Source organism: Homo sapiens, chromosome 18 (genome assembly GCF_000001405.40).
Source record: "Homo sapiens chromosome 18, GRCh38.p14 Primary Assembly".
In the NCBI taxonomy this organism is placed as follows: domain Eukaryota; kingdom Metazoa; phylum Chordata; class Mammalia; order Primates; family Hominidae; genus Homo; species Homo sapiens.
Window position 1 is genome coordinate 63,645,671 of NC_000018.10, and position 26,793 is coordinate 63,672,463.

General features: G+C 36.9%; 1 protein-coding gene across 1 annotated transcript, besides 1 other annotated feature; it reads right to left on the reverse strand.

Moving 5' to 3' along the window:
• Positions 9,527-16,223, reverse strand: SERPINB3 (serpin family B member 3). The gene is made up of 8 exons (NM_006919.3): positions 16,176-16,223; positions 15,382-15,572; positions 15,130-15,186; positions 13,729-13,857; positions 12,843-12,960; positions 11,600-11,742; positions 11,161-11,316; positions 9,527-10,391 (listed from the first exon to the last, which is right to left on the reverse strand). Exons 2-8 carry the CDS (start codon positions 15,544-15,546, stop codon positions 9,987-9,989), a joined length of 1,173 nt encoding a protein of 390 aa, NP_008850.1. The 5' UTR covers positions 15,547-15,572; positions 16,176-16,223; the 3' UTR covers positions 9,527-9,986.
• Positions 13,147-14,346: an enhancer, noted in NCBI's record as "CDK7 strongly-dependent group 2 enhancer chr18:61326051-61327250 (GRCh37/hg19 assembly coordinates)". NCBI's record gives its function as "activates an origin of replication core promoter dependent on BRD2, BRD4, P300/CBP, MED14 and CDK7 cofactors, with strong dependence on CDK7, by STARR-seq in HCT116 cells {active_cell/tissue: HCT116}" and the evidence as "EXISTENCE:reporter gene assay evidence [ECO:0000049][PMID:35650434]".
• Positions 16,224-26,793: the final 10,570 nt, after the last annotated feature.

The window sequence follows — 26,793 nt, forward strand, 5'->3', positions numbered from 1 at the left end:
TGTACAATTCAATGATTTTATTATATTCACAAAGTTGTGCTATCATCATCATGATCTCATTCCACAACAATTTCACTACCTCCAAAAGAAATCTTGTACTTCATTCTTCCCTTCCTGGAGACCCTGGAAACCAGGAATCTACCTCCTGTTTCTATGGATTTGCCTATTCCAAACATTTCAGGTAAATGGAATCATACAGTAAGTCCTTTTGTGACTGGCTTCTTTAATCTAGTGTTATTTTCATGGTTTGTCCACATCATTGCATGGATCAGTACATCATTCCTTTTTGTGGTCGAATAATATTCCATTCTATGAATAGACCAGATTTTCTTTAATCATAAGTTGATGGACATTTGTGTTGTTTCCATCCTTTTACTATTATGAATAATGATGTTGTGACCTTTCATGTACATTTTTTTGCATGGCATATTTCTTCATTTCTTTTGAGTATAAACCTATGAATGAAATCGCTGGGTCATATGGTAAATCCAGGTTAACATTTTGAGGAAATGCCAGACTCTTCTCCATAGAATTCTGCACAAGTGTGCATTCCAACCGACCGTGAATAGAGTTCTGATTTCTCCACATTCTCCCCAACACTTGGTATTGTCATGGGCCCTTTTTAACACCAGCCGTGAGTTTGTTTTCTCAGCACATCACAAAGTCAAGGGAGATTTATCTACAACAAGGTGCCAGAAACACATAGGCTGAAAGTAGGGGCTGGATGGGAGAAAGGAAGCTGTGTTTCCAATCTGGAAATTTCTCACCTGCCTGTTTCCTCAACCCCCAAGACATGCTCTTCTTAGGTCTCCTGTATCAATATATATGTTTTGAGTCTCTGAATGAGTTTAAGAGGTATAAGTTCCCTGATTGAAGTCGGGGAATAGACTAATGGGGCGTTGATGGACTAAAAATCCAAAGATAGAAGAAAAAGAAAGAAGAGGAAATATCTGAGATAAAGAATTCCAAAAATGAATAATGGTCTTCTCAGCTGAGTCTGCATCCAGCGCTATAAGACAAAAATGGACCTTCCTCTATTGGAGTAGGATGGATTTACTCGGGTACCAAAGAAAAGGAATCTAATGTCTCATAGGACAGAAGCAACAAGCTCATCCTGGGAATGGAGGGAAGAAAAAAACAGGATAACAAGCTGAGACAAACCGGGGTTACAGGGGACCAATCTATGGAAGAGAATTTCAGACTATGGCTAAACGTCCTGAGGCACGGAGGTTTGCCCTGAAGGTTGAACTTAAGGAAAGGTACTAACTGAAAATGACCAGGAGTTTGCTTAAATTTAGAGAAAGCTTGGATGAGTTCAAATGAGAAATCATTTCAGGCATTTTTTTCTGTTCCTAAATAGTTCTCCTAGCATGTGATAGACAGGCTAGAAAGGACATATCCTGGTGTGTGAGACTGGACATATCCTGATGTCATATATTGCCACAGAGAACTCAGAAATTCCAAGAAGTTTTTGCATATGAACACTTGCCAACTTATGTCTCTTGATATTTCATAAACATACACCAACTTCATTGGCTCCAGGAATCCAGAAATTAAAAACAAATCCTCAATGGGAAATTACACTTTCAGGAAATATCCTGTCATTACTAATGCCTTTATAGATTGGTTAAGAAATATCTCCTAGATTTTCCTGGACCTCACTTCCTTATGAAGGCTGTAAAGTTTTCTCAGCATTGTTAAGTAACAAAGTCAAGAGAACATTTTATTTATTGTTTCTTATTATGTGCTTGTGGCAATCTATAGGGAAACTGGTTAGTGGAGGAGATTTTTCAAGCATCAAATAACAGAATATATGTCAATTACTGTATTCCCAAGGATTCTGTCTACAGATATAGATATGTATACATTGAACAACCTCAGAACAAGACTAACTAGCTTTCCTTTCTTGGTTTTCATGAGGGAAAACAACTCCAGTAAGGTTTGAAAAGCAGAGAGGGAAATAGTCTCATATGTAAGTACAGTTGGAGCACAGAGAAAATGATATTATCTCTTGCCTCCCTTCCTCCTTCCTACTCTGCCAACACTGCCAGGGACAGACATCATATTTACTGTATGCTTTCAAACCAAACCAAATCTAACCCTGTCCCCTTGCTGATCTCTTATAACTCTCTCCCTAATTCCTCTTGGCCTTCTTTTTCTATTGCTAAGAAACATCCTATATTGATGTTCTCCCTTTTACTAGAACTGTCCTTCTTCTTCCTCCTTGCTTTATCTGCACTATGGATTTTCCCCGATGGCTGCATGCTCCTTGATCTTTTCTCATGGATGTCTACTCACTCCCCCATTCTCATGCCATGAAGCCAGGAAGCATGATCTTCTCTTTTATTCCTACTGCCTTTTCTAGCCATTGTTTTTCTCTGTCTTCAATGGCCTATTTTAATTTCTTTGGCTATGCAAGTATACCATGTACTTCTTGTGGGAAAGAGAGTTTCTGGGGTGCCAGTTGAGTTGGTCTCCCCTGTGTGAGACACCCATGCGTAGCCATGGGCAGCCTCTGAGGAGAAAAGTCTCCTTATGCCTTCATGTCTTTATGCCCCGAGAGCATAACAGCTCAGCGGTATTCCACAGGTTGCTCAGGGAGATAACAGTCCCTTGAAGCAGGGGAGTATAATCAAACGTCTTGGCTCCTCCTGAAACCCGCTCCCGCCCATTTCAGTCCCTATAAGTTAAAGATCTTACGTAGTTTAGACACATGCCTTTGCTCAAAGAAATTCCCAGAAACCGCTACTGCTCTACATCTTATTGAATGACTCATGAGTTCTCTTTCACTGATTAATCCTTTTCCTCATCCCTTCCTCCTGCTCTCATCTGCCTTAGGAACAAAGAGCTTATAAACCAATAAATTAGGCGGAGCCTGAGAGCTCCACATTTTCTTTATCTAGTCTGTCATTGATGGGCATTTGTGTTGGTTCCATGTCTTTGTTATTGTAAATGATACTAACTATTCTTAAATACATAGGATTAGTGAGATGTGGACAAATAAAAATGACAAAAATGCTGTTGCAAATGTTTACTGGTACAACTATTTTGGAAAAACTTGGCCATATCTAGTTATTTTAGCAATTCTATGTTTAAATATATACCCTAGGCTAGGTGCGGTGGCTCATGCCTGTAATCCCAGCAATTTAGAAGATTGAGGGGGAGCAGATCATTTGAGGTGAGGAGTTCAAGACCTGCCTGAGTAAAATGGTGAAACCCTGTCTCTACTAAGATTACAAAAAAATAAAAATAGGGCCAGGCATGGTGGCTCACGCCTGTAATGCCAGCACTTTGGGATGCCGAGGCAGGTGGATCAGAAGGTCAGGAGTTCAAGATAAGCCTGGCCAATATGGTGTAACTCTGTGTCTACTAAATATACAAAAATCAGCCGGGCGTGGTGGCAGGCAATTATAATCCCAGCTACTCGGGAGGCTGAGGGGCAGAAGAATCGCTCTAACCAGGGAGGCAGAGGTTGCAGTGAGCTGAGATTGAGCCACTGCACTCCAGCCTGGGGACGGAGCGAGACTCCATTTCAAATAAAATAAAATAAACAAAATAAATAAATAAAAATTAGCCTGGTGTGGTGGTTCATGTAATCCTAGCTACTTGGGAGGCTGAGGTGGGGGGATTTCTTGAAGCCAGGAGGTAGAGGTTGCAGTGAGCTGAAATTTTACCACTGCACTCCAGCCTGAGTGACTGAGTGAGACTCTGTCAAAAAAAAAACAAAAAAACCTCTCTCCTTCTCTCTATATATAGCCTAGATGAACCCATGTACTATGTTGCACAAGACACATACAAAGGCATGAATTGCAGCATTCTTGTTAATGGTGAAGAATTAGAAACAACTTAAATATATATCAAAAGAAGAATAAGGAAAAAATTAAGCTAGTTTCATACAGCTGAGTATTCTACAGCAGTGAATGTAAATGAACTGGATAATCATTTGTTAAGAAGAATAAATCTCTAGACATAATCGCAAGGAACAGGAAAACAAACGAAAAAGAATGTATAAATATGACTTAGGTAAAACATTTTAAAAGCACCTATAACATTATATCTGTCATGAATTATATTTTAACATAGGAATGACAATATATTAACTTTTGTCAAATTGAGGTAGTAGGCATATGAAGTTCTTAAATTGTTTTCAGAAACTGTTTTACAGTTAATTTTTTTAAAAAATGGTAAGTAAAAATTGTATTTATTAATGGTATGTAACATAATGTTTTGATATATGTACACGTTGTTGAATGGCTAAATTAAGCTAATTAGCATATCCATTACCTCATATAATTATTCTTTTTTAGAACCAGAACATTAAAATTTCCTCTCTCAGCAATTTTCAAGTATACAATATTGGTATTAAATATAGTCATGATAAGATACCTTAAACTTATTCCTCTTGTTTAACTGAAATTTCATATCCTTTACCAACATCTTCCCAACTCTTCCACCCTACCAGCCTCTTGTAGCCAGCATTCTACTATCTGTTTCTATGAGTTCAACATTTTTAGATTGCACATATAATTGAGGTTGTGTAGTATTAGTCTTTCTGTGTCTAGCTTACTTCACTTAACATAATATCCTCCAGGTTCATCCATGTTGTTGCAAATGACAGAACTGTCTTTTTTATGGTGGAATAGTATTTCATTGTGTATATATATCATATTTTCTTTATTTATTCATTTGTTGGTGGACACAGGCTGATTTCATGTCTTGGCTATTGTGAATAATGCTGTAATGAACATGAGATACAAATAATTCTTTGACATGCGTATTTCATACCCTTTGGATGTATTCCAAGAAGTGGGATTGCTGAATCATATGTTAGTTCTGTTGTTAATTTTCTGAGGCATCTCCATAAGGTTTTCTAAATGGCTGTACAAATTTTATTCCCACCAGCAGTGTACCAGGGTTCCCTTTTCTCCAGCTCCTCAACAACACTTGTTATCTTTTGACTCTTTGATAATAGCCATCCTATCGGGTGTAAGACGATATCTCATTGTGTTTCTGATTTGCATTTCCCTGAGGATTAGTGATGTTAAGTATTTTTCTATGTAACTGCTGGCCACTCGTATGTCTTCTTTTGAAAAATGTCTATTCAGGTTCTTTGTACATTTTAAAAGTTTTTTTTTTTTTTTTTTTTTGCTGTTGAGTTTTATCAGATCCCTTTACATTTTGAAGAAGAATACTTTATCAGCGATATAGTTTACAAAAACTTTTTCTCATTTGGTAGATCATCTTATCTCTCTGTTGATTGTGAATTCTTCACTCCTTTGCTGTGAAGAAGTTTCAGTTTTATGTAATCACATTTGTCTATTTTTACTTTTGTGGCCTGTGCTTTTGGAATCATATCTAAAGGCCAGACCAATGTCATGAAGCTTTTCCTCTATATTTTCTTCTGATAGTTTTACATTTTCAGTCGTTACATTTAAGCCTTCAATCGGTTTTCAGTTGATTTTTGTATATGGTGTGGGATGAGGATCTAATTTCCTTTTTCTCCATATGGATATCCAATTTTTTTCAACACTCCTTATTGAAGAGACTGTCCTTTCCTGATTGTGTGTCCTTGGCATCTTTGTCAAAAATCAACATTTTTAGATTCCACATATAATTGAGGTTATGTAGTATTAGTCTTTCTGTATCTAGCTTACTTCACTTAACATAATGTCCTCCAGGTTCATCCATGTTGTTGCAAATGACAGAACTGTCTTTTTTTTTATGGTGGAATAGTATTTCATTGTGTATATATATCATATTTTCTTTATTTATTCATTTGTTGTTGGACACAGGCTGATTTCATGTCTTGGCTATTGTGAATAATGCTGTAATGAAAATGAGATACACGCCTGGGAGGCGGAGCTTGCAGTGAGCAGAGATTGAGCCACTGCACTCCAGCTGGGTGACAGAGCGAGACTCCAACTCCAACTCCAACTCCAACTCCAAAAAAAAAAAAAAATCCTAAAATATGTATAGAACCACAAAAATCCTAGAATAGTCAAGCAATTTTGAACAAAGAGAAGAAAACAGGAGGCATCACACTACTTAACTTCAAAATAACTTATGAATCAATATTAATCAAAATGGCATCGTACTGGCATAAAAACAGGCACATAAACAAGTATAATACAGTCCAGAAACAGATGCAGATATTTATGGCCAATTAGTTTTTTAAAATGCGCCAAGAACATATAATGGGGAAAAGACAGTCTCTTTAATAAATGGTTTTAAAAAACCGTATTCACATAGAGAAGAAAGAAATTAGAACCATATCTTACACCATATAAAAAATCAATTCCAAATAGATTACAGGTAAGACTTAAAAGTATAAAACAACTAGTAGAAAACATATGAGAAAAGCTTCATGATATTGGTCTGGGCAATAATTTTTTGGATATGAAATCAAAGGCAAAAAAAGCAAAATTAGACAAATGAGACCATGAAAAAGCTTCTGCACAAATGAGAATCAGCACAGTGAAGAGATAAATGGGAGAAAAAATATCTGTAAAGCATGCATCTCAAAAGGGATTAATATCCAAAATATATAAGGAACTGAAACAACTGAATAACAATAAAACAAATAACCCAATTAAAAATAGGCCAATGATCTGAATAATCATTTGTCAATAGAAAACATGCAATATCAATAATCATTTGAGAAATGCCAACTAAACCATAATTAAATATCACCTCACTCCTGTTAGGATGGCTTTTGTCAAAAACATAAATGATAACAAGTGTTGACAAGAACATTGCAGAAGCAGACTTATTTTACTCTGTTGGTTGGATTATAAATTAGCATAGACATTATGGAAAACATCATAAAGATTCTTCAGAAAAGTAAATACAGAACGATGATATGATTTAATAATTCCACTTTTGGGTATATTTCCAAAGGAAATAAAAGCAGTTACGTTGAACAGATATCTTTATTCACATGTTCATTGCAGCATTATTCACAATAATCAAAATACGGAATCAACCCATCTATGTAATAATGAGTGACTGGATGAGGAAAATGTGTTATATACATGCACAGTAGAATACTTACTATTCAGCCTTTAAAAGGAAGGAAATCCTGTCATTTATGACAACAGGGTAAACCTGGAGAACATTATATTGAGTGAAATAAGTCATGCAGAGAAAGACAAATATTGCATGGTCTCTCTTATATGTGGAATCTAGAAAAGTTGAACTCATATAAATAAAGAGTAAAATGGTGGTTACCAGGAGCCGGGATGTGAGAGGGAGTTGAGGAGATGTTGGTCAAAGGATACAAATTTCAGTTAAACAGGAGACATGAGTTCAGAAGGTCTGTTTTACAACATGGTGACTATGGTTAATACATTTTATTTTTGAAAATTGCTAAGAGAACAGACTTGCAGTGTTCTTACCGCAAAAAATTATGTGAGGTAATGTATATATAAATTAGCTCCACTGACTCATTCCACTATGTATACATATTTCAAAACAACATGTTTTACAACATAAATGTATACAGTTTTTATTAATTAAAATACATTTAAAAACAACATTTAATGAAGAAGATTTTTTCACCTAAAGATGTGTGTTTTGGACAATTCTCTTTTTCCTCTTTTGAGTCAACTTTATAGAGGCATAATTAATTAAAATAAAATGTAAGTGTGTAGTTCAGTGATTTAAGACTGTTTTCCAACATGGTTGCACCTTTTGTATTTCCATCAGCAGTTTGTGAGAGTTCCAGTTGCTTCACATTCTTTTCAAAACTTGCAATGGCCCAGTATTATAAGTTTTAATTTTGGCCATCATAATTGGTACAAAGTGGTATTCCATGAGGAGGAGTTTTGAAAGCACTTAAATTTTGCATTTCTTATGAAACTTTTAATTTAGTCATTTATTTTATATGAGCAGGGACTCATATTCTGTTTTACTCAATAGATTTTAATTCATTATTTAAAAAATCAAGACAAAAACTTTGGCTTTCCCTTCAGTGTCTCTTGCAGATGGCTACAATGCAGGGGCAACTGGTTTTCTGGTGGGCCTAGAATGTATGTAAATATTTCAATTCTCCTAACAAAATATCAACTATGCCCTCTCCTCTATAAGAATCTAATGCTTATGAGCTTTGTCTTAACATTTTCATTATTAAAAAGTACCTTCTTTTAAACCCAGAAAAATTAATAATAGTTGAAGGATATGGTCTAAAGTGATTCTAACAATCAGTTCTTCAAAACTATCCACTCTACCATTTTCAGCTTCATTGAATCATTAGAAATTAATCCTCACCTATTGGACAGAATTTGGGCTTTATAATTCCTTACAATTTATCATTTTAAAGCATATTTCAAAATCATAGGTCCTGGCCCAAACTTCTGACCTCTTCATCTTTCTCATAAACTCAATACCATCCTTATTTGACCTCAGTAAGTATTGTAATGCACATGTGTTCTTCAAGACTATTACATCCTTCTTTGCTTTCTTTCCCCAGCTGTATTCACTGAACAGATTGTTGATGTTATACACTCTCTGGCTAGTCTGTCAATTCCCTCGACAACTTGACCAAGTCTCACAGTTAAGTGGTGAAACATTTGTTTCCTCTGCCTTCATCCTGGACTGCTGAATCTTGCTGAAGAAAACTTCAACCTTGTTCAAATTCTCTAAAACTTATGTTTTATGAAACCAGGTGGGATTCAGTACTGACTGGGAAGAATCTATGGGAGTAAATATGGAACCCTAAGAAAAGCTACTTTCTGGAAAATAAAAATGATCAGTTCATGATCTTTACACATATTGATATACTTCAAGGTCAATTCCAGATTCTTCTTTCTTCTAACTTTATCCTTCCTCCCTAGGATCTTATCTTTGCTTCTAGCTACAATTACCATGTTTATCCCAATAACTCTAAAGTATTTATGTTGAATATCACAAATTTAGAGCTTCAGATCATATTCTGTTTCTGAGATTTAGATCAATATCTTCAAGTACCTGCCAGGCAAATTCATTTGAATATTAAAAGTACCTCAATTCATCAAGTACAAATTTAAACCCATGGTCTTTTTTTTCTCTCAAAAACAACATTTTCTTCCATCCTTCCAGTCAGATAGCTCAGAAACTTAGATGTCTTTTTTTAACTATTACTTCCTAAATAATTCTGCCAGGCTGTTTCTTTCTCTTCATTTCCACCCCCAATACTCTAATGATTTCCTGATTTATATATGGTAACCACACTGTTCTTTCCTCTCATCCATTGATATCAGAGTAACCAGAGATGTATTTTCAAGATGAAGATATGATAATTTTATGCCCCTCTTTGACAAACAACCATCAAAGCCTGTAATGAGTTTCTTATCCCTTTAGCATAAAATAGGAAGTTCCTAATGTGGTTTACAAGGCTCCTCCTGTTCTGGGATATGCCTTCTACTCCAGGCTCATCATGAACTACTCTGTTTTTAATTTTCCTTTGTTTGTGATTAATATATCTCTAAATTGTCTTTCCTGTGTGTAACTGGACACTTTCCCTTTCCAGAGAGAAAATGTAAAGCAAAAATGATTTTATGTCACTATTTTATTGATGATGTGTTTTATAGAATCACAAAATTTAGAAACATAAGAAGGATTTAGGTATCACCTAAATTCAAAGAAATGTGTGTTTCTAGGTTGCTAAATTCAAAGAAAAAGTATGATTTGGTTTGGTTCATTTAAAACAGGTCACAAACAGAATTATATTTCAAATTTAGAAGATACGGTATTAAGTGATTCATCTTATTTTGGACATTTTTCCTCAAGGAGAATTTTTCTGGAAGAAAAAGTACATTTATATGTGGGCTTATTAAGAGAAAGAGAGAAAGGCATGCTATTTTAATCATTAAATTCTTGATGATGACGATCATCATCAAGATGAGAAAGAAAAGAAATATGAGCCAAGAGAATCTGTTGTTGCCAGCAATCAGTTTACCAGAACATCTGCAGGTGAACATTTTCCAAATGGAGTGACAGACTAATTGCATCTACGGGGATGAGAATCTGCCATAGAAGAGGATGCTGTTGGTCTTATTTTGCCTTATGAAGAATAGGAAAGGGTGATTACAATGGAACTCTTCATTAGTTGAAGTAGGTGATGATCCGAATCCTACTACAGCGGTGGCAGCTGCAGCTTCTGCTCCCTCCTCTGTAACCTCCACAAAGGCCTTGTGTAGGACTCCAGATAGCACGAGACCGCGGCTCCCGGTCATGCCTGAGAGGTCTGCATCCCCATTGAAGATATCCACCATTCCCATGGTTCTCAACGTGTCCTTGAGGTCATAGCTCTCTTCCACTTTGAACCGAGGTAAGTGTAAATCGACACGTGTCTCTCTCATATTCTGCAAACTTGTCCATTCCATCAATTTCTCAGCAGTGAGTTTCTCTTCAAGCTATACAAATGGAAAAAAGAAACTGATATGACTAACTGTTGATTTCTAATACACCTTAACAATGAATTGACTATGTGGAGAATCCTTATTTTGGCAACAAATGTGAAATACAGAAGGTTCACTTTATTAGATATTATTATTCTAATAGGCAAAATATGAGTCCTGGATATATAAATACATTGGGTTATATGTGTATGTGTATAAACAGAATCAAGTTTTTATGTATATGTAATGTGTACATATGTATGTATACAACTGTATGATACACATGTAAAAATATGATTACATTATTTTGTACACAATGAACTATATATATCACTATTTCTTGTGCCAACAGCCTACTACATGTGTCAATTTTTAATAGGCTCATCTTATTTTTCTGTATACATTATTTAGTACACATTGCAATTATTAAATTGCAATTCCCCAAATTCCTAAATTTCTATTCCCTTTTTTACTTGGTGTATTCGTAAACTTTCCTCACATTGCTATATATTTCTCCCAGTCAAGTTTAAATTGCTGCATAATAATATCATTAAATTGATATCCAATGCATGTAACTCTAATAAATTAATCATTAACTATGCCTTCAGTTTGTGTCAGGCCCTATGCTTAAATCTTTGTAATATGAAGGTGAGTCATCATTCCTCATTTAGAATTTTTCATTATTTTGAGGCAACTCGGTCACCAGCTTTTACCTTGTTTAAACTTGGTATCTTTGGAAAAATGTCAGGCAGTAGAAGGAAGAGTTGTAGATGCAAGTTCTTACCTTCTGGAGACCATCGATTTCATTTGGCAGCAACACAATCATGCTTAGATCTTTGCCTTTGTATGGTATTTCCAGGACCTTGGCCTGTACATCCTCCAGCGAGGCAAAATGAAAAGATGTGTATTGCCTCATCATCTGTATGGACTTGTATGTATTCTACAATAAATCAATGTGTCCAACAAATACCAAGTGAGACACAAGGCAAAAAGATAATATTATTGAGATATCAACACATCCTTCTTTTAAGAAATAATCCAAGAATGTAATGAGTTAGAGACAATAGCTTCTTCAGGAATTCCTAACTAAATAAAGTTATAAGACTAAAACAACAAAAAAACAGACATGAACAATTTTATTTTTTACTTGTCATGGTACATTCCATCAGAAATGTTTAAATTTATTAACATATTACATTATATAAATAAAATATAGACAATACCTTGTTTGGCCAAAATTTTTCCTCTTTAGTATCTTCTTTATTAAATTTCTTCTCCCACTGCCCTTTGAAATAGATTGCGTTCACAAGAACCAATGTGGTATTGCTGCCAATATTACCTTCAGGAATTAGGTTTTTAATTTTTTCTGCAAGGGAAAGAATAAAAGAGTCTTTTACACAAGCTACAAATGGCTTGTCTGGAAGATGCTTTGCAAATGTTCGTGACTGATCGTTAATTATTGACCCAAATCCCTACTTGAGACTCACTGACTTTGATCTTTGAATTGTTAGACTCACTGACCAGTGGTTCACCAGATGCAGCTTTCTTCAAGGCTCCAGTCGTATAAAGTTGCCCTTAATGGAGACATCACTTCTTGTGATAGAGAAGGAGTTCACGTTCTCTGTGTATGAATGAGTCCATTCATCTGATTTGGAATACTGATAAACTGATTTTGTCTACTCTTTCAACATGTGTCTTTCCTTTCTCCCTCCCTCCTCTTCCTACTTTTTTTTTTTTTTTTTTAACTACGGGGTCCCCATTCAGAGGAAGTAGGCCCTGACTGCTTTTTAGGACAAGTGACATGAGCTCTGTAATATGAAACGCATGTCCTGTGCTGTCAGACACTACTTCCGGGGGTATCTTCCTATTCACTCTCATGTTGAGTTGCTGTAAGTTTGGCCTGTAATGAGAGGTGGGAGGTAGGATAGATGTCTATAGAATGGAGAATTTGTTAAGCTCTTGCCCTTGATGGGGAAGAGAGCTGTGATAATCCCTGCAGAACTTGTGGCTAGAGATGTGATCCAGGCAGCTCTAGTTCAGATGGCAAAAGGGTGATTTACCAGAGAGCTGCTTGTTTCCCAATTAGTAAAGGGGAAGGGAGATGCTTTCTAATGTTTCCTTTTAAATATTCATCATAAAATATTGGTTCTGATTTAAAGTAAAGGACATGATCTCAAATTGGACCTGAGTGGAGACAAGGGATCCACAAAGCTATTGTCATCCAGGAACATGAGCAAAGAATCCTCCGGCTATGTTTTCTTCTAATTGGCTTCCTGTGATTTCCTCCTTGGCTCCCCTAGGCTCTCTTCATAATCATTTGGAAAAACTCTTCATCTGGAGTGCCCTCTTCTTCCCTCCCTGCAAAGCCATCTCAATTCCCACCCATGGTCCCCCATGCAGTTTCAGGCATAGGGCTCACTCGCATAGATTTCTCAAAGGTGTTTCTATAATGGGTGGCTCTCCTACCATTCGTTTGACTTTCCACCCAGGAGTTAATCTTCTTTCGACTTTCTTCTGGAGCATTTGCAAAATCAACAGATTCCACACTGGTCTGGTAAAATTTCTTGATGGCATCTAAATATTCCTTTGAGATATGAAGGAAGAAAGTAGGAAGTAAGAGTAATTTATGTAACTATATATTACCAAATTTAGTTATTTATAATTATAGTAAGCTGAATCCAGACCCTGAATAGATGCAGTATCTCCTGTCCATGCATATTTTTATACTGGTGCCATGTAGGCAATGCAAAAGCGGAGTGCGGGCTGGCGCAAGAAAGAGGTCACCGAAGGTCAATATCATCTGGCAAAAGGCAGAAGCAGAAGAGGCTGTGGTTTGCAAACTGCAGAGCAGGCTTCCCTGAAGGAGATTCATTGCTTCTCAGACCTCTTTCCAGTAATTTCAACCATGATGTTTCTGATCTTTGTTTTTATCTTTCATCCTGTGCATTCAGTATTTCCTGGTACTTCCTCAACTATTCTCAGGAACTCACCCAAGCCTGCCCATTCCAATAATATCCCATTAGTCATACATTTCCCACCAAGATGTATCGTATGTGACTGAGTCAGTGCCAGTTTATCGATGGTATCTTATTACTTATTACTCTTACTCACTCTATTACCCAACCTCCTCTTTTATTACAAGATTATCCCTAAATCCACACTTCAGTGATGTATTGTTAGGGTCTGGGACACTCCAGTGGGGGAGAGTTGTGGAAACGGAGCTATTGCACTCTGAGTAAATGCTCTCCACCTGGATCGGTCAGGCTCATCTGCCTTGCTTTCTTCCATTTGGCCACTCAGAGACACAGACATCAGGATGCAAATGAAATGTGGGTAGGCCAGGTGAAATTACCTGTAAAAATAGATACGTTTTTTCTCCGAAGAGCTTGTTGGCGATCTTCAGCTCATATGCATCAGTGGATTTGTTGAATTCAGTCAGAAGCTTTTGAAACTGGTGATGAACATTTCCTGACCTATCAACCTTCAAACATCAAAAAAGGAGATCATTCAATTGCTGTATCAATGTAAATACTAAACCCATGCTAAGTCTGTTAGATCAGTCCCTAATGGCTGGTAGTCTCAATGAGGACCTTTGAGCTTATTCCCTGATACTTGGTGTATTTCACCTCAAATACCCTTCAAAATCCACCTTATGTTTCACTTCTTCCAGGAAATTCTTCTTGCTCTAATGTACTGCAATCTTTTCTCTTCTGAACTATAGATGCAGCACTGTCTACCACTGGATTTTGTCCTTGTTGGTTTAAAGGGTTAGGTTTAGCTTCCCAGTTAAACTCTCAGCTCCTTAAAGGCAAGGACCATATTTCACTTCTAACAGTCATCAAGGATATGAGTATGTTGAAGGTTGGATATTTTAAATAGATTATGCCAGGAAGCCCTGTTATACCTGTTGGTGCTGTTATCTTGTAGGACACATTGACTGATCTGTGACTGTTTCCTCATGATGGTCATTCTCTGCACGTAAGAAGAGTGTGTGCCAGGTACATGGCTAAGGACTTTACATGGGTAACTTTAAGTCTTTAGTTCAATTCAGGTGAAAACAAGAAAGCTCAGAGAATGGAAAGTAAACCTCTTCATAGAGACATAAATTAGAAGTGCCACGTTTTGAACCTAAGCCTGTTTAAATCTAGAAACTTCTACTTTCCAGCAAAGCATTTTGCACTATTAAGGCTCTAAACCAATATATTCCATAGCAATCATTTTCCAAAATATAGTTGGACTTGTGCTTATTCCTCTTTATCTCATTAATGACTCAATGAAAATTAAATATTTTGCAACATTATTGTGATTAGTATAATTATAGCTATTTTATAATAATAATAACATTTATTATGACATTTTATGGGCAAGGCAATGTTGTAAACATTTGCATGTATTTGCATGTATTGAGTCAGATTTCTTATTACCCTTAGTTTTCTGGGATGAGGTCACTGGGACTCTGAGCAGTTGTGTCCTGCTCATGTTCACCATTTGTGAAGAGCAAAGCTGGAGTCTGAACCTAGCCTATCCTGATCCAGACCTATGCTCTGAGGTACAGTGCTGACTGTCTTTCAGTAACGAAGAAAGGAGGAATAATAATTATGTGCCATGAAATGCCAACCCACTCTGTATGTCTCAATCTTTGTGTCCAAGATTTTCCCTAAAAATGGCCTTTTCTTAGTTTCTGTGAAGTTCCAGGTTCAAACTATGACCTGTTCGGGGATCTAAAGCTGAACCATAGTGCTCTGTGACTCACATGATATGTTGCAGCTTTTCCTGTGGTGTTCTCTGTGACTTGATCAAAGTGAAGAACCTGGAAGAGACATGAAGCGGGACAAGAAAACTTTACTCAAAAGATCTGTTTAAGTCAGTGGTCTCACAGTTACGGGAATTCCTGCTCAGCCCCCTGTGCTACCCATCAGACCACCACATCTATTACCATCTGCGTGCTAGCCGACGGAACCAGAGAAAAACTGCAACAGGACAACATAATGATGCTGATAGCTACCTTCTTAATCTGTTGTGCAGTGTTGTCTTTGGCTCCTAAGAGGACCATCCCTAATGCTGATGTGATGCTGATAGGGGAATAGAAGATGTTGTTCTCTTTTGATTTTCTGAACTGTTGGAACAGGTCGAACATGAACTTGGTGTTGGCTTCACTGAGTGAATTCATGGTGAACTCGATGTGATCTGGAACTCCTGGAAAAGCATCAGATTCCTGTCAGAATGACTTTAATAAATGGAATGGTATTTTGTAGTACAATTTTCTTAAAGAAATTATATATCTGTGTTGTGAGATTTTGACATTTAAAGTTTTCCTCATCTTATTTTTAACGTTTCAATCTTTCTACAATGTGCATATATTAAATATATTAATGTCTTAATTAGAAGCCTCACAAAATTAGTGTTTTTAAAGACTACTGTAAATAAGTAATAGACCCTCTTTCCTTCATTGCTGGCTACACTAGGGCTAGGTAGGAAGGCTTTACAATGAATGCTAACAGGAGACCTCTGTGGATCACATCCAACCAGCTGTTAAGATGCGTCCCTGACATCTCCTTCAAGACTCTCTGGCTGCAAGGCACTCTCCCTCTGTGTTCCTAAAAGTGCCTTGGTTTACTTGGAACTAAGCAATTTAGATAAAGGACAAATCAGATGAAATAGGTATTTTAATTTTGCTCTGGCAGAATAAGTAAAATATAATCAGACAGAATGCAGGAGATGCATGATATAGAACACAGTATCATTATTATTCTCAAAAATAATTCATGTTATTAAGCTGGAGAGGCTTGAAGCTCTTACCTGTGTTCCTAGAGGAAGCAGAGGTGGGCAGAGAGGCTATGTGTGTCTGTGGAATGAAGGGTGAGATCCTGAATTTATGCCTCTCCTCTTGCTGCCTCTCCCTCTGTGGTTAGTATTTGAAGTTACTCAACTTCAGATTTCACAAGCGGGCTAACACTCACCTTTATGAATACGAAAATTTATGACAAAGGACAGGATTACAGTTCTACCATTGTACCTCCTTTTTAATCTATAGGGAAAAAATAAGAATGCAAGTCAGCAGTCACCGGCTCATGTGAAATACATGTAGGTGCCTTTCTAATGCCAATGAGAATAAGTTTAGAATTCCAATTTCCTCTCATTTGTTTCAACTCCATCCCTTTGTATTCTACTCCAGCTGTAAAACAAAAACAAAAACAAACAAACAAAAACCCCACCATTCTTTTCTTGGATTTTGCATTGTCTTTTAGGCATACTTCGAATACCAAAGAACTAAAAAGCTTACATTTCCTGTTTTTCAGTTCTGAAAGTTTTTGTCATCCTATGAATTTCCTTAGTAATTTTTCTGTATAACAAGGAATATAGTGCTAATTCTAAGTCCAAAGAGATAGTGAAGAAGTGTACTTCAGTATCTTATAGCATACTATGGAGAATAGGATTCTATTGCCTTCTCCTGAATGCTCAGCTTTGGCAGTGATCCTACCAGTCACTTCCTGTGCCCCTTACAACCATCCCAGATGGTTTTCTGTTGCATAGGCTCAGTGAGAAAGTTATCTGCCTTGCTGAGTGATATGGTTTGGCTGTGTTCCCACCCAAATCTCAACTTGAATTGTATCTACCAGAATTTCCACATGTTGTTGGAGGGACCCAGGTAGAGGTAATTGAATCATGGGGGCCGGTCTTTCTTGTGCTATTCTCATGATAGTTAATAAGTCTCAGGAGATCCAATGGGTTTATTAGGGGTTTCTTCTTTTGCTTCTTCCTCATTTTCTCTTGCAGCCACCATGTAAGAATAACTTTTGCCTCCTACCGTGATTCTGAGGCCTCCCCAATCACGTGGAACTCTAAGTCCAATTAAACCTCTTTTACTTCCTAATCTCAGGTATGTCTTTATCAGCAGCATGAAAACAGACTAACACATTGAGTTAACAGGCTGACACTGAGAAGAGCAATTGAAACAGACGGGCCATTTTGAATGTCAGCTTTCTAATTTTTCATTTAAAAATTAAGCAGAAAAAGAAGTTGCTTGACCTGTCAGGATCACAACGTTTCTTGGTGGTCCTTCCATTTAGCACCTGGCTTCAGACTCATTCCAGTGTTTCCTCTGGAATATCTTGTAATCTGAAGAATGTCTGTGGCCAGGGAGAGGGTTGTTGTCCAAGGCCATTTAATCCAATATCTCCCTGACAACCAGAGTGGGGGGCTGTTTGTTTTGTGGACCCCCTTTTTTAACATATAATTTATATGCCACAAATTCAACTGTACAATTCAATGATTTTATTATATTCACAAAGTTGTGCTATCACCATCATGATCTCGTTCCACAACAATTTCACTACCTCCAAAAGAAAACTTGTATCTCGTTCTTCCCTTACTCGAGACCCTGGAAACCAGTAATCTACCTCCTGTTTCTATGGATTTGCCTATTCTAAACATTTCACGTAAATCGAATCATACAGTAAGTCCTTTTGTGACTGGCTTCTTTCATCTAGTATTATCTTCAAGGTTTGTCCACGTCATTGCATGGATCAGTACATCATTCCTTTTTGTGGTCGAATAATATTCCATTCTATGAATAGACCACATTTTCTTTATTCATAAGTTGATGGACATTTGTGTTGTTTCCATCCATTTACTATTATGAATAATGATGTTTTGACTTTTCATGTACATTTTTTTGCATGGCATATTTCTTCATTTCTTTTGAGTATAAACCTATGAATGAAATCGCTGGGTCATATGGTAAATCCAGGTTAACATTTTGAGGAAATGCCAGACTCTTCTCCATAGAATTCTGCACAAGTGTGCATTCCAACCGACTGTGAATAGAGTTCTGATTTCTCCACATTCTCCCCAACACTTGGTATTGTCATGGGCCCTTTTTAACACCAGCCATGAGTTTGTTTTCTCAGCACATCATGAAGTCAAGGGAGATTCATCTACAACAAGGTTCCGGAAACAGATAGGATGAAGTAGGGGCTGGACGGGAGAAAGGAAGCTGTGTTTCCAATCTGGAAGTTTCTCACCTGCCTGTTTCCTCAACCCCCAAGACATGCTCTTCTTAGGTCTCCTGTATCAATATATATGTTTGGAGTCTCTGAATGAGTTTGGGAGGTATAAGTTCCCTGATTTAAGTTGGGTAATAGACTAATGGGGTGTTGATGATCTAAAAAGCTCAAAGATAGGAGAGAAAGAAACAAGAGGAAATATCCTAGATGAAGAATTCCAAAAATGAATAATGGTCTTCTTAGCTGAGTCTGCATCCAGGGCTGTAAGAGAAAAATGGACCTTCCTGTATATGGAGAAGGATGGGTTTACTTGGGTACCAAAGCGAAGGAATCTAACGTCTCATAGGACAGAAGCAAGAAGCTCAGCCTGGGAATAGAGGGGAATAAAAAGCAGGATAACAAGCTGAGGCAAACTGGGATTACAGGGGACCAGTCTATGGAAGAGAATTTCAGACTATGGCTAAATCTTCTGAGATGCTGAGGTTTGTCATGAAGGTTGAACTTGAGGAAAGGTACTAACTGAAAATGACCAGGAGTTTGCTTAAATTTAGAGAAAGCTTGGATGAGTTCAAATGAGAAACCATTTCAGACATTTTTTTCTGTTCCTAAAAAGTACTCCTGGCATGTGATAGACATTCTTGACAGGACATATCCTGATGTGCGAGATGGGACATATCCTGATGTCATATATTGCCACAGAGAGCTCAGGAATTCCAAGAAGTTTTTTGCATGTGAACACTTGCCAACTTATGTATCTTGGCATTTCATAAACCTATGCCAACTTCATTGGATCCAGGAATCCAGAAATTAAAAACAAATCCTCAATGGGAAATTACACTTTCAGGAAATATCCTGTCATTACTAATGTCTTTATAGGTTGGTTAACAAATATCTCCTAGATTTTCCTGGACCTCACTTCCTTATGAAGGCTGTAAAGTTTTCTCAGCATTGTGAAGTTACAAATTAAAGAGAACATTTATTTATTGTTTCTTACCTATGTGCTTGTGCCTATCTATAGGGAAACTGGTTAGTGGAAGAGATTTTTCAAGCATCAAATAACAGAATATATGCCAATTACTGTATTCCCAAGGATCTCTCTACAGATGTGAATATGTATATATTGAACAACCTCAGAATAAGATTAACTAGCTTTCCTTTCTTAGTTTTCATGAGGGAAAACAACTCCAGTAAGGTTTGAAAAGCAGAGCGGGAAATAGTCTCACATGTATGTTGCAGGAAGTCAGGGACCCTGAACCGAGGGACTGGCTGAAGCCATGGCAGAAGAACATAGATTATGAAGTTTTCATGGACATTTATTAGTTCCCCAAATTAATACTTTTATAATTTCTTATGCCTGTCTTTACTGCAATCTCTGAACATAAATTGTGAAGATTTCATGAACACTTATCACTTCCTCAATCAATACCCTTGTGATTTCCTATGCCTGTCTTTACTTTAATCTCTTAATCCCATCATCTTTGCAAGCTGAGGAGAATGTATGTGGTCCCAGGACCCTGTGATGATTGCATTAACTGCATAAATTATTTGTAGAGCATGTGTGTTTGAACAATATGAAATCTGGGCACCTTGAAAAAAGAACAGGATAACAGCAATGTTCAGGGAACATGAGTGATAACCTTAAACTCTGACCGCCGGTGAGCTGGGTGGAACAGAGCCATATTTCTCTTCTTTCAAAAGCAAATGGGAGAAATATCGCTGAATTCTTTTTCTCATCAAGGAACATCCCTGAGAAAGAGAATATGCCCCTGAGGGTAGGCCTTTAAAATGGCCGCTTTGGGGGGCAGCCGTCTTTTATGGTTGAAGCTGTAGGGATGAAATAAGCCCCAACCTCCCGTAGCGCTCCTAGGCTTATTAGGATGAGGAAAGTCCCATCTAATAAATTTTTGGTCAGACCGGTTGTCTGCTCTCAAACCCTGTCTCCTGATAAGATGTTATCAATGACAATGCGTGCCCGAAACTTCATTAGCAATTTTAATTTCACCCAGGTCCTGTGGTCCTGTGATCTCACCCTGCCTCCATTTGCCTTGTGATATTCTATCACCTTGTGAAGCACGTGATCTCTGTGACCCACACTCTATTCGTACACTCCCTCTCCTTTTGAAATCACTAATAAAAACTTGCTGGTTTTGTGGCTCAGGGGGTATCATGGAACCTGCCAAACTGTGATGTCTTCCCCAGACACCCAGCTTTAAAATTTCTCTCTTTTGTACTCTATCCCTTTATTTCTCAGACCAGCCGACACTTAGGGAAAATAGAAAAGAACCTACGTGAAATATCAGGGGTGAATTTTACCTGATATCTGGCTGAATTTCCCCTGATATATGTAATTACAGTAGCACAGACAAAATGATATTATCTCTTGCCTCCCTTCCTCCTTCCTACTCAACCAACACCACCAGGGACAGACATCATATTTACTGTATGCTTTCAAACCAAACCAAATCTAACCTGGTCCCCTTAGTCTTCTCTTATAACTCTCTCCCTGATTCCTCTTGGCCTTCTTTTTCTATTGCGAAGAAACATCCTATACTGATGTTCTCCCTTTTACTAGAACTGTCCTTCTTCCTCCTTGCTTTATCTGCACTATGGATTTTCCCTGATGGCTGCATGCCCCTTGATCTTTTCTCATGGGTATCTACTCACTCCTCCATTCTCATACCATGAAGCCAGGAAGCATGATCTTCTCTTTTATTCCTACTGCTTTTCTAGCCATCGTTTTTCTCTGTCTTCAATGTCCTATTTTAATTTTGTTGGCCATGCAGGTATACCATGTACCTCCTACCATCTTCTATGCTGCTCCTTCATATTCACTAAGTAATCTATCACATCTCCGCTCTTTATTCAAACTGCTTCAATTATTCTGAGTGACTTCAAAGCTTTCATTTGATTGGCAACAGACAGCCAATGTTATTTTACATCTCTTTTCTAGTTTAATTTCCTCTTTCGTGAATTGTCTTTCTTTTACCCTTTTGTTCATTGGAATCCTTGTGTTTCATGTACCTGAATATGGTTTTTTACATAAAAAATGTAACTATTGTTGATGCTTGTCTCTGGAGTACCAATGGAGATGTGAAGTTCTAGAGACATAAAGAAATTTGCCCTCATGGGAATGTGGCTGTGCTGGGTATCTTATTTTGCTTCTTCAGTTACACCTTTCATTCTTCTCTACCTCGTATGGGTTCCAAGAAGCTGAGTTGTACAGAGACATAATAAGGCTCCTGTGCCCTCTGGCATCCAGTTAGATTTGGTCAATGGCAGGCACCAAGAGTAGGTCAGCAACTAGGTGAAGACAGAGTGCTTAGCCAACTGGATCCCTCACTTTGAGGGTCAAAAGAGATGTTTGCGTTACTTTACCAAAGGCTACAGAGCTTATTGGGCAATGTTTTCCAAAGCTACATCTACTTTCTCTGGGGTTTGGTAATGACTTCACCATTTGCCCTTCTGGACTAGGGTTAGAATAGTCTCTTCGCTATTGCTAGATCTTGGATGTTTCACCATTCTTTGTTGCTTCCTCTTAGTCCGAATCATACTGTTGTAAATAGTCCCTCTATTTGATTACAGATTTGATGGTGCCCTTTGTTTTCTGTAGCGACCTTGATTAATAGCAAGTACTTGGTATCAGGAATAGCTCTAGAAAGCAGACCTCCAAATGGAATTCTGAGACTGAGTTGTTCACATGCTGAGAAACACACGGTGGAAGGAAAGGGACTTTGCTATATGGCATATGGTAGCATCAAAATATCACTGACGGAGACAAAACATGAAGCGCGAGTCTAAGTCAAGGTGTTGAGATTGTGGTGTTTAGCAGCTATAGTGACAAAAGTGATTACAAAGATTATGGGCTCAGCTGCTTCCTTTCATGTCTTGAGAAATTCACTCCTATTCAAAATCCCCAAGGCATTTTTCATAGACCTTGACAAGTAAATCCTGAAGCAATGTAGAAGTTTACAGTGGAAAGATTCTTACTCTTTTTAGGTGGGGAAAATGCATTTAAAACAACAGAGAGGTTCACACCAGTAATACTAACTATTCTTTTTTAAATTTTATTTTTAATTTTACTTTAAGTTCTGGGATACAAGTGCAGAACGTGTAGGTTTGTTACACAGGTATACATATGCCATGGTGGTTCGCTGCCCCGATCAACCCATCACCTAGGTTTTATGCCCTGCATGCATTAGCTATTTGTCCCAATGCTCTCCCTTCCCTTTTCCCCCATCCCCCTACTGGTCCCTGTGTGTGTTGTTCCCCTCCCTGTATCCATGTTCTCATTGTTCAATTCCCACTTATGAGTGAGATCATGTGATGTTTGGTTTTCTGTTAATGTGTTAGTTTGCTGAGGTTGATGGCTTCCAGCTTCATCCATGTCCCTGCAAAGGACATGATCTCATTCCTTTTTATGGCTGCATAGTATTCCATGGTGTATATGTACCACATTTTCTTTATCCAGTCTGTCATTGATGGGCATTTGGGTTGGTTCCATGTCTTTTTTATTGTAAATAATACTAACTATTCTTAGATATTTAGGGATGGAGTGATGTGGACAAGTAAAATTGATAAATATGTTGTTGAAAATGTTTATTGGTACAACTATTTTGGAAAAACTTGGCAATATCTGGTTATTTTGGTAATTCTATGTTTAAATATATACCCTAAGCCAGGTGTGGTGGCTCTGACCTGTAATCCCAGCAATTTGGGAGGCTGAGAGGGGCAGATCACTTGAGGTCAGGAATTTGAGACCAGCCTGGCCAACATGGTGAAACCCTGTCTCTACTAAAATTACAAAAAATAAAAATAAAAATAAATTAGCCAGGCATGGCGGTGCATGCCTGTAATCCTAGCTACTTGGGAGGCTGAGGTGGGAGGATCGCTTGAACCTGGGAGGTAGAGGTTGCAGTGGGCTGAGATTGTGCCACTGCTCTCCAGCCTGGCTGACTGAGTGAGACTCTGTCTCAAAGAAAAAAACCTGTCTCTTTCTTTCTATGTATAGCCTAGATGAACCCATGTACTATGTTGCACAAGATACATACAAAGGCATGAATTGCAGCATTCTTGCCAATGGCGAAGAATTAGAAACAGCTTAAATGCATATCAAAAGAAGAATAAGGAAAAATTAAGCTAGGTTTATACAGTGGACTATTCTACAGCAGTGAATATAAATGAAGTGGATAATCATGTGTCAAAAAGAATAAATCTCTAGACATAATAGCAAGGAACTGGAAATCAAATGGAAAAGAGTGTGTAAATATCACTTATGAAACATTTTAAAAGCACCTATAATATTATATCTGTAATGTATTATATTTTAACATAGGAATGACAATATATTAACTTATGTCAAATTTAGGTAGTAGGCATATGAAGTTCTTAATTTGTTTTCAGAACCTTTTTTTAACAGTTAATTTTTTTAAAAAATTGGTAAATAAAAATTGTATATATTAATGGTATACAACATGAAGTTTTGACATGCACACATTGTGGAATGGCTAAATTAAGCTAATTTGCATATCCATTACCTCATATAATTATCATTTTTGTAGCTAGAAGACTTAAAATCTATTCCCTCAGCAATTTTCAAGTATACAATATAATGGTATTAAACATAGTCATGATGATGTAAAATAGATGCCTTGAACTTATTCCTCATGTTTAATTGAAATTTCATATCCTTGAACAACATCTTCCCAACCCCTCCACCCCACCACCCTCATGTAGCCACCATTCTACTCTCTGTTTCTATGAGTTCAACGTTTTTAGATTCCACATATAATTGAAGTTATGTAGTATTTGTCTTTCTGTGTCTAGCTTACTTCACTTAACATAATATCCTCCAGGTTCATCCATGTTGTTGCAAATGACAGAACTGTCTTTTTTATGGTGGAAGAGTATTTCATTGTGTATATATATATCATATTTTCTTTATTTGTTCATTCGTTGGTGGACACAGGGTGATTTCATGTCTTGGCTATTGTGAATAATGCTGTAATGAACATGGGATACAAATAATTCTTTGACATATATATTTCATACCCTTTGTGTATATTCCAAGAAGTGGGATTGCTGAATCATATGTTAGATCTGTTCTTAAAATTCTGAGGAATCTCCATAAGGTTTTCTAAATGGCTGTACAAATTTTATTCCCACCAACAGTGTACAAGGGTTCCCTTTTCTCCACATCCTCACCAACACTTGTTATCTTTTGACTCTTTGATAATAGCCATCCTATCGGGTGTAAGATGGTATCTCACTGTGGTTCCGATTTGCATTTCCCTGAGGATTAGTGATGTTAAGCAGCTTTCTATGGAATTGTTGGCCATTTGTATATCTTCTTTTGAAAAATGTCTATTCAGGTCCTTTGACCATTTTAAATATATATGTATATATATATATATTTGCTGTTCCATATCGTTTTTTCCCATTTGGAATGTCATCTCATCTCTCTGTTGATTGTGAATTCTTCACTCCTTGGCTGTGCAGAAGCTTTTCAGTTTTATGTAATCACATTTGTCTATTTTCACTTTTGCGGCCTGTGCTTTTGGAATCATATCTAAAAAATCATTGCCTAGGCTAATGTCATGAAGCTTTTCCTCTATGTTTTCTTTTAGTAGTTCTACATTTTCAGTCCTTACGTTTAAGTCTTCAATCCATTTTCAGTCGATTTTTGTATATGGTGTGAGATGAGGATCTAATTTCCTTTTTCTCCATATGGATATCCAATTTTTTCAACACCCTTTATTGAAGAGACTTTCCTTTGTCCTTGGCATCTTTGTTAAAAACCAATTCACTGTATAAGCATGGATTTATTTCTGGGTCTTCTATTCTGTTTCATTGGTCTATATGTCTGCTTTTAGCCAGTACCATGCTATTTGATTCCTACAACTTTGTAGGATATTTTAAAGTCAGGTAGGGTGATGTCTCCCACATTGTTATTTTTCAAGGTTGCTTTGGCCATTGGGGGTCTTTTCTCATTCCATGCAAATTTTAGAATTTTTACTTATATTTCTGTAAAAATTGTCATTGGAATTTTGATAGGAATTGGATTGAAATGAATCTGTGGATCCCTTTTGGTGGTGTGGGCATGTTAACAATATTAATTCCTCCAAACCATGAACATGAGATATCTTTTATTTATCTGTGTTTTCTTCAGTTTCTTTCATCAATGTTTTGGTTTTCAGTGTACAGATATTTCACTTCATTTGTTAAATTTATTTCCAGGTATTTCACTTTTTAGTGGCCATTGCAAATGGGATTGTTTTCTTGATTTCTTTTTTGTATAGTTCATTGTTAGTACATAAAAACAGTAATAATTTTTGTATGTTGGTTTTGTAAACTGCAGCTTTGTAGAATTCATTTATTAGTTTCAACATATTTTTGGTAGCTGCTTTAGGGTTTTCTATACATAAGATCATGTCATCTCCAAACAGAGATTGTTTAATTCTTCCTTTCTGATTTGAATAGCTTTTATTTCTTTCTATTGTCTAATTGCTCTGGCTAGATCTTCCAGTGCTATGTTGAACAGAAGTGATGAGAGTAAGCATCCTTGTCTTGTTCCTGATCTTAGAGGAAAAAGTTTCAAATTCTCACCATTGAATATAATTTTAGCTGTGCATGGGGCTTTATTTTGTTGAGGTATGTATTTTTTGTGCCTAATTTCTTGCAAATTTTTATCATGAAAAAATGTTAAATGTTTTCAGATGCTGTTTCTGTATCTATTGAGATGATTATATGGTTTTTGTCCTTCATTCTGTTAATGTGGTGTATCAAATTTATTGATTTGCATATATTGAACCATCCTTGCATCCCTGGGATAAATTCCACTTCATGTTGAATGATTCTTTTGACATGCTGTTGAATTCGGTTTGCTAGTACTTGTTTGAAGATTTTTGCATCTATGTTCATCAGGGATATTGGCCTGTAATTTTCTTTTCTTGTAGTGTCCTTGTGTGGTTTTGGTATCATGGTAAGTCTCGCTTCCTAAAATAAGTTTGGAAGGATTCCTCACTCTTTGTTTATTTGGAAGAGTTTGAGAAGAATTGGTATTACTTCTTCTTTAAATGCTTAGCAGAATTAAGCTATGTTTGTGAACTAAAAGACAATATTGTTAAGATGACAATATTACCCAAAGCTACCTACAGATTTTTTTTTGCAAAGATAGAAAAACTCATCCTAAAATTAATATGGAATTTCAACACACCTTGAATTGCCAAAACAGTCTTGAAAAAAGAACAAAATTTGGAGGTTTCACATTTCCTGTTTTCAAAACCTATTAGAAAGTTACAGTAATCCAAATGATGTGGTATTGGCTAAAGACAGATATATAGACCAACGGAATAGAATAGAGACCCCATAAATAAACCCTTCTGTAAGTGGTCAAAAGATTTTGACAAGTGTTT

Bases quoted from the DNA above. Each gene is read 5' to 3' on its own strand.
- SERPINB3 (NM_006919.3), bottom strand. From the start codon at position 15,546: ATGAATTCACTCAGTGAAGCCAACACCAAGTTCATGTTCGACCTGTTC. The intron at 11,743-12,842 runs GTAGGAGAGCCA...TTTCCCTTGCAG, and splicing joins GGTGGAAAGTCAAACGAATG to AAAAAATTAAAAACCTAATT. The intron at 10,392-11,160 runs GTAAGAACTTGC...CCATTTGTATAG, and splicing joins AAATCGATGGTCTCCAGAAG to CTTGAAGAGAAACTCACTGC.